The sequence below is a fragment of the Homo sapiens genome, chromosome 2 (genome assembly GCF_000001405.40).
Source record: "Homo sapiens chromosome 2, GRCh38.p14 Primary Assembly".
NCBI lineage: Eukaryota > Metazoa > Chordata > Mammalia > Primates > Hominidae > Homo > Homo sapiens.
This window is the reverse complement of record NC_000002.12, coordinates 4878388-4887171: the sequence shown is the minus strand read 5'-3', so window position 1 is coordinate 4887171 and position 8784 is coordinate 4878388. Positions and strand designations below refer to the sequence as shown.

At 40.2% G+C, this 8784-nt stretch overlaps 1 annotated feature.

Moving 5' to 3' along the window:
- Positions 2255-2755: an enhancer, noted in NCBI's record as "H3K27ac-H3K4me1 hESC enhancer chr2:4932007-4932507 (GRCh37/hg19 assembly coordinates)". NCBI's record gives its function as "activates a minimal SCP1, AML or CMV promoter by ChIP-STARR-seq in naive H9 embryonic stem cells {active_cell/tissue: H9 hESC(naive)}" and the evidence as "EXISTENCE:reporter gene assay evidence [ECO:0000049][PMID:30033119]".

The following is an 8784-nucleotide window of genomic DNA, read 5'->3' as shown; positions in this document are numbered from 1 at the left end:
GATGGAACAAGCAAAAATAGAAGCACATAAAAGGGCATGTAATCTTCCTTGAGGCGAAAACTAAGTCCTGTAAAATTTGTAATCTTCTCAAAATGAATTAATGAGTTAATGAAATTAGAAGCCAAATCCCCTATTTTTTAGAACATCATAGAAATATTCCTATTCATTTGAAGGGAAATACAGGAAACTATTGGTAAAATAAAATAGACATAATGGGGCTAGAAGACATGAAAGTACATTTTAGCTCTGAAATAAATAAAGCAGTGTGGTATTCACCTAACAATGGACAAAGAATAGAATTATTTCAGAGAAACAAAATAGCATATTGAAGAAATTAGTACAGTACAAATCAGGGGGGCAAAGATGGACATATTAAATGATACTGGAGAAATTGCTAGCAACTTGACAATTGTAATACTAATTTTCATCATTTTAAGCTTCAGACTAATCAGATTTATTTGTTAAAAAAGTAAATATAAGGAGAAAACGTCAGTAATTGAACAGTGGAATTTAACAACTTGCAAGCATAAACATTTCATGACATTTTTACATTGAATAGCATCATAAATAGAATTAAGAGGCATGTTATACATGAATAAAAATTTTGGATTATTACGAAAAATGTGTTTACAATAAAGAGCACAGCAAGGAGATAAACAGCTCACATCATAGTGTGAACAGTCAAGGTAGTTTTCAGAAAAACAAATGAGTAAAAATGCCAACAAGTAAAGACACCTTTCACATGTCACGATGACATGTTTTTAAGCCTCCAGGTTTGTCAAGGGTGCAGTGAAAAAGGAACTGATACACTGCTTGGGAGAAGCTAAGCTGGTCATAGGTTTCTGAGAGCTACTTGTGAAAAGGGCCCCACGACCCTCAACATGACTCTACAAGTTTATCCTGGAATTTCATGTCTAGATTTTAAAAATGAAAACATTACGAGATAAGCACGGCCATTTTGAACGAGTGTTTTATATATTACACACTCAAATGAGAGAATGCTGTGCAGCCATTGTCATGCATTTGAAAAATACTTCAAAACATTGAGATATATTCAAAAGATTCAAAAGCATACAACATTAAAAAACACATAGACTATTTCACTACACATGCACTCAAGAAGCATATACCATTTGGAATATCTATATACTTAGTATGTATATGGATGTATATAGCTATACAAAAATGAAACTATGTCACATATATGACATTTTTGTTACCCATACACCTGGTCAAAAGTGTTTGAAAGCATATATCACAAATATTAACACCATTTTTTGGGGGGTGTGATATGATCAATGTAATTTTAATATGTATTTGCATTTTAAATTTTTAGAAATGATCATATACTGCCATTATCTAAAATATTAGAAAAAATTTAAAAATTATCTTGCAAAGAAAATAGACTTCTCTCTTCATGGTTGCCTAAGAAGATGCAGTATATAACTTTTTAAAGATTTGCACTTTATGAAGATATCAGTCTAAATTAGAGCTAATATTTCTACTCACTTGATGAATAAAAAGTGAAAACTGTGGTCAACCCCAAATGATGTTCTAATTTTTTAAAATTTGTGAAGAATGTAACACATTCACGTTTCTGTCTATAAATGTAACATATTCACATTTCTGTCTATAAAATAAGTATGAATAAAAATATCTCCATATCACTTTGAAGTGACTTATGTCAGCCAGCTCTCACACTAGACTTTGGAAGTTGAAATTCAACTGCTTCTCTTATTGGTGGTGAATCTGTACATGCAGCAACCTCAGTTCTTGCCTCCTCAGAGAAAGGGAAAATAGGTGCCTCAGAGGCAACTTTTAGCACAGGAGGGAAAGTTTACTAAAAAGCTTTAGAGCAGGAATGAAAGGAAGGAAAGCACACTTGGAAGAAGCCCAAGCGGGAGACTTAAAGGACAAGTGCAGGGTTTGACCTTTGTCTTGGGTTTTACATGTTGACATGCTTCTGTGTCCAGAATTGGTGGGTTCTTGATCTCCCTGGTTTCAGGAGTGAAGCTGCAGACCTTCGCGTTGAGTGTTACAGCTCATAAAGGCGGTGCAAACTCATACAGTCAGCAGCACCAAGATTTATTGCAATGGGCAAAAGAACAAAACTTCTACAACATGTAAGGGGACCACAGCAGGTTGCCCCTACTGGTTGGGGCAGGCTGCTTTTATTCCCTTATCCATTGGCCCACTTTACAGAGAGCTGATTGGTCCATTTTACAGAGAGCTGATTGGTCTGTTTTACAGAGAGCTGATTGGTCCGTTTTGACAGAGTGCTGATTGGTGCATTTACAATCCCTGAGCTAGACATAGAGAGTGCTGATTGGCACATTTACAATCCTCTAGCTAGACATAAAAGTTCTCCAAGTCCCCACTACATTAGCTAGACACAGAGCACTGATAGGTGTGTTTACAAACCTTTAGACCCAAAGTGCTGATTGGTGCATTTACAATCCTCTAACTAGACATAAAAGTTCTCCAAGACCCCACTAGACTCAGGAGCCCAGCTGGCTTGGCCTAGTGGATCCCTCACCACGGCCACAGGCGGAGCTGTCAGCTCTCTGCCCCCCACATTCCTCAGTCCTTGGGCAGTGGATGGGACTGGGTGCCGCGGAGCAGGGCGTGGTGCCCATCGGGGAGGCTCAGGCCACTGCGGAGCCCACGGTGGGGGCAGTTTGAGGGGGGAGGCTCGGGCATGGCGGGCTGCAGATCCTGAGCCCTGCCCCCTGGGGAGGCAGCTGAGGCCCGGCGAGAATTCGAGTGCGGCGACAGCGGCCTGGCACTGCTGGAGGACCCAGTGCACCCTCCACAGCTGCTGGCCGGGTGCTAAGCCCCTCACAGCTGTGGGGCCTGAGGTGCCGGCTGGCAATCCCACACTCGGAGCCCACAGAGCCAGTGCCCACCCGGAGCACGCCAAGCGCAGCCCCAGTTCCCACCCACGCCTCTCCCTCCACACCTCCCCACAAGCAGAGGAAGCCGGCCTCGGCCAGCCCAGAGAGGGTCTCCCACAGTGGCAGCGGCGGGCTGAAGGGCTCCTCAAGTGCAGCCAGAGTGGACCCCTAGGCCGAGGAGGCACCAAGAGCGAGCGAGGGCTGCTAGCACATTGTCACTTCTCACTTCTAGGGTCTTGCCTCCTTCTCCGCTGATTCTTCCCTTGGGGTGGGCTGCCCACCTGCGTGGTGAGATGCTAAGGCTAGGGAGGGGAGCATGGCCAGTGTGATTACTGGAGTTGTACACATGCTGACCTGGCAGGTTCCTCCCTTTCCCCTGGAGTGCCCTGGAAGGTCGTATCTCGGACTTCGGCATTTTGCCTCTTAGGGCGCTTGTGTGAACCCACTCACCCAGCTCCCCAGATCTTATCAGGAAGCTGCTCATCACCAGCTTCAGGTTTTTTCTATCTGCAGGGAAATTGCCTTTCCCTGGCGCTGTCACCAGTTGTTATTTTAGACAGGCTGTGTGACAGCTGCCTTCAATCCCTGTGGGCAGCGAGGAGCCCGGCCATGCTGGCCCCCTGCTGTGCAGTCTCGGGGGACTTGGGGGTCCTCACCGGCCCTGGCCCAGAGGCCCCAGGCAGCACCCGCCTCAGCCCCCACGCACCTCACTGAGCAAACCCCAGGGCGCCCGTTGGTGTCCTGAGATGACCGCCTCTAGCTGGGCTGTCATTTGTTCTCAGGAGAACACCCCGTCCTTCTCCATAGCTGACAGAAACTGGGACCCACAGTGCACACACCCTGAGCCCTGGCGGGACACATGCGCCCCTGCGCCCCGGCCCCCTGAGGCCCGGGCGACCTCAGCTCCCTCCCTTGGTGCTGGTTTTACTGTGTTCCTTGTAGGGATTAGAGCCAAGAGGAAAATGAATATGCTTGGAGTTTCATGGTAGCTTTTTATTTTTCCTTTGCATTCATGGGCTGCTACAAATCAGATTTAGATGATCCCAAGTATGCGTACTTGATTCTTTCACATACTGGCGTGGCATTTGCCAGAAAACTGAATGTATTCATCTAAAAGGCAACTTTAAAAGAAAAACAACTCTACTCCTTTCAGGTCGTGGGTGTGGTCCTTTCTGCGTCAGCGTCTTCACTGCTGTGCACCTTTCATTCTCTGTGGAAAAATGCTCACTTCTAGACTGTCCGTCTACCCGTTTTTTTTTTCTTTTTTTTAAGGCAAAGCTATTCCTCTTGTAAGTAGGCATATTTTATTATGGAGATGCCTTTTCTAATTCGAACAAAACAAATTTTGTTTCTACTTACACAATTTAATTGTGTATATTGTCAATATTGTCAGTCATTAACTTGTCCTGCCGATAGATGTTCCAATGCAAGGAAACTGCAACTGAAATGATACAGAAGAGTGTCATACAGTATTTACACTGAATAAGCACATTCCCATTTTAAATCAAGCACATCTGCTAATTGCCAGCGTGTTCCTATATTAACAAAACACGCAATTTTCTAGGAAGTTGTATTGTTGCTAACAGTATAATAATGCAGTTTAACTTGGCTCTGTTTGGAAACACAATGCCAGTGAACCTTGCATTTTGTTGTCATTGGCTAGAAGCCACGGCTTTCACTCAGCCCCTGGTCCTAGAGCTCACATCCAGTCTGGAAGAGACCAAAATTTCTGTATATGGTTGGAATCCTGAAGGCCTGACAGATATAGCACCATAAATCTAAGATCTTTTAATTTTTTTTTGGAAGTTAAGAGTTTAAATACCTGTTTTAAAGACATTATTACATTATGACAGATATGCAAAATGACTTTGCGAGAAAAACCAAAAGTTAAAACTTAAGAAAATTCCATATCAACAAGAGAAAACAAGTATATTTATATTCTTTGACCTAAGTATTTGTATTGCATCTTACAAGTCTTTTATTTTATTTTTTATGTTTTATTTCCATAGGTTTTGGGGGGAACTGGTGGTGTTTAGTTACATGAATAAGTCCTTTAGTGGTGATTTCTGAGATTTTGGTGCACCCATCACCGGAGCAGTAAACACTGTACCCAATTACAAGTCCATTTTAGAATGCGGTGAATATACTCAGAATGCTTGATCTTTTCCTGAGTACTTTATCAATTCAAAAGTATTTTCCTTTTAATTTTTCCTACCAGTTATGAGGTAGGAGGCATGACTTGACTCCAGAGCCAGGACTCAGCGAACCAGAATGAGGACTAGCTAAAACAGGACCAGGATAAAAGTATCTTTCAGACAAATATGCCCACCAGTGTGCCATGTCAATTTACCGTTGTCATGGCAACACGTGGGCATTACCATCCTTTTCCATGGCAATAACACAATGATTCCTACTCCTTTCCTAGAAATTTCTGGATGAACTGAAATCTGCATGCAATTAAAAGTAGGTATAAATGTGACTAGAAAATTGCCCTGAGCTGCTACTCTGTGCTCATGGAGTATCCCTGCTCTTCAAGAGCAGTCACAGAGCAGTAACACTGCCCCTTCAACAAAGCTATTTTCTTCTATCTATGGCTCGCCTTTGAATTCTTTCCTGCGCAAAGCCAAGAACCCTCACTGGCTAAGCTCAACTTTCGGGTTCATCTGCCCTGCATCCATTGTTTTCAAGATGGTAGTGGAATAAGACATATATGCAAACTTAAGTCTCGTTATTTCCCATAAGTAATAATGGATGACCTATAAATGTCATGATGTTATAGAAGAATTAATCTCTGCTTGATAAGGTGTCTTATGAAACACATTCTTCAAATCTCTAAAATAAAGAATTGAGATATAGTTACATTAAGGGGAGAAAACTAAGTGATCATACCTCATCTTAGTAAACATCATCAATGGTGTTCATGTTTAAGATGATTATCCAGATTCTTTGTTCTGGGTGTTAGTGGAAGTGGCAGTTTTCAGGGGCTAAGAAGAGCCTCTTGGAGTTCTTGGTTTGCAAGCAACAGAAAGCAACGAGGGTGAGCCTTAAGCAAGCTAATGAGAAGAACAACAATTTCTTTATAAGTAGAAAAAGGAATAAAAGATAAATCTAAAGAAAGAAACAAAGCTCTTCCTGAGTCTGTTGACTTTGGCTCTGAGCCCTACCATTAACTTAAACCCTCAATTTCATGTCTCTATGGTTCTCGGTAAAAATTGTAAACAAATGGAACATGGTAGAACTTGATAAAAGATGGTCAGTGTTTTGATGAAAAATTGAAGAGACTTGAGTGAAAGAGTGGCCAGAAAGTGGAGACCAGTTAGACATTCCAATCAGTGCCCACTGGGCAAAGTCTACACCACAATAGACTTTGGGATCCTGTTTGATATGCAGGAGAATGAATAACACATGTATGGATTTCCTTCTCTGAAAGGCATTATAGTAGGACTACTGATAGATATTTTATTTAATCTTCACAATAACCCCATGAAATACTCATTTTTCTCTACATTTAATGTGAAGAAAATGAGGCTTGGAAAAGGCAAGTGCTCAGCAACAAAGCTAATGAGAGGCAGGATGTGTATTTAAACACTCGGGTCCACCTGACTCCAGACCCTTCCCGAGAGAAACGACATTTATAGAAATCCCTTCCCACTTTCATCAAGGCATAGCTGTGCTCTAAAAGTCATAGCAGGAATACAGGATCCAATGAGAGCAGCCTATTTAAAAAAGCTCTATTTCCCCCTGGGTTTTCTTCAGAATAATTTGAAGATAGTAGAAGTTGCACAGGATAATGGCTAAGTGCATTGCCAGTGGGGCCAGATCAGCAGGATATGTTCCTACCTGTGTAATCTTGGCCAAGTTAATCAGTGTCAGTTTCCTCATATATAAAATAGAGATATGAATAGTGTCAGCAATATGATTGCTGTATGGATTCCATAAATTGATCTACAGAAAATATTTACCACACTGCTTGACACTAGCATAAAGATCGACTTGTTTTGTGTATATTTTTATCATTATTTTTATTTATTATTGTTTTAATTTTGCTTTGTGTGTCAGATTGAAAACTTTGTCTCTGGTCTTTACCCCATTTTCATGGGGGGCGGGTAGATGTCAGTAGCTCCTCTTAGTCCTGCTTATTTTAGATCAAGGCTTTGATTAGTCCTGAGAGAGGCAGAGCTGTGTCGTGAAGTAGCCAACATTTCCGAATAAGGAAACAGAGAATTATGGAGGTAATAATAATAGGATCATCTTATATTTATACTTAAATTATTTCTTATTAATGCATTATGTCTTGCTTTTATTTGTCAATTGAATATTTATGATATATGCAAAGATTTACACTAGTGAAATTGTCATGAAACTTGGCATAAGTTGGTTCTTATGCCAACTTATGTGACTGAAATAGAGAAAACATTCTGAAGCTCATTTGGTAGCCGGTTCACTAAAGCTCAGAGAGTTTAATAAACAGGTACACAATGAAACCATTTTCCAATATGGAACTGGGACTTAAATCCTGGCTTCTTGGATTCTTCCCCATGTGGCACCGTCTTGCCTACATTTTATTTAGATGAGGTGTCACATTTCCCTATTCTTAGAAGTTCAGACTTGAAATTCATCAAGAAATAGCGTTTGAGCACATGGTTCCTAAACACAGAATGCCTAAACCTCAGGAAATTTCTCTTTCTCAAGCGTTATCTTAACAGAAGTGGAGGGCTACTGAACAAAGCGAATAGATGATTAAATATACAATAGGAAGAATACATATTTACATATACACACATACTTGTAAACATGCTCAGTGAGAATTTCAGGTCATTAGCAACAAAACAGCTTTGTGACCTAGGACTGGCAATGATACCTCCCTCTCTCGACAGCACTTGGCAATCTAATTTTTCTTCTGGTAAAACACCTTAATAAATTCACTGCTGGACTTAACAAATCGTTACAGACCATAGTTTGATTTCCTATTGTTTTACTAATTTGTCTTATAACATTTGGTTGCTAAAAATATATCATCAAAATGTTGAGCAAAACTAAAATCAAAAACTATCAAAAAAATCATGGCCAGGTCTGAAGGACATTGCATAATGAAAATAGAAAAGTTAGAAGAAATTCCCGTAGAGACAAACAGCAGTGTTCAATATGAAGGACAGAGTACATGCACATATATCATACAATCATATGTCAGAAATATTTTGAAAACACTTACAAAGGGAATGCAAACAAAAATCACCTCTACTCTCTTCACTTCAAAAATAACTGCAACTATTACGATATTTACTGCTCTGAATTCTAAACATTGCTTATATAAATGGTTCATAGTGTATAACTTGTTTTATAAGCTACTTTTATTTCACTCTATCTTCATACATAACTATATATATTAATATAACATCATCCTAAATGACTGCTTACTGTTTCATTTTACTTATGCACCACCATTTACTTCACCAAATCTGTACTATTAAATAAGTATTTTATTTTTTATTTCTGATACAATAAATGTGCTTGTCGGTAAGTATTCATGTAAATTCTTATTTCTCTTTCGTATAAAAATCTCAATAACAGAAGACCTCACCATGCACAGGTGTGGTTCTTGCTTCCAGAAATAATGTGAGATGATCCTCCATGATGGTGTTTGCCCATGTGTGTTTCTATCAGCACCATGGCGTGTTGCGTGCCGGCTGCCTGTGCTCTCCTGCTGTTGTCAAACATCATTTCAAACACTCTGTTCGTTTACCAGGAAAAAATGCAGTCTTGTTCTATATGAGAAGTTTGACTGAAGCCATATATGTATATCTCTGTGCATATCTGCGTATGCATATGTATTGGACTATTGGACTATATGTGTATACATATATGTGTATGTGTGTACATATATGTATAT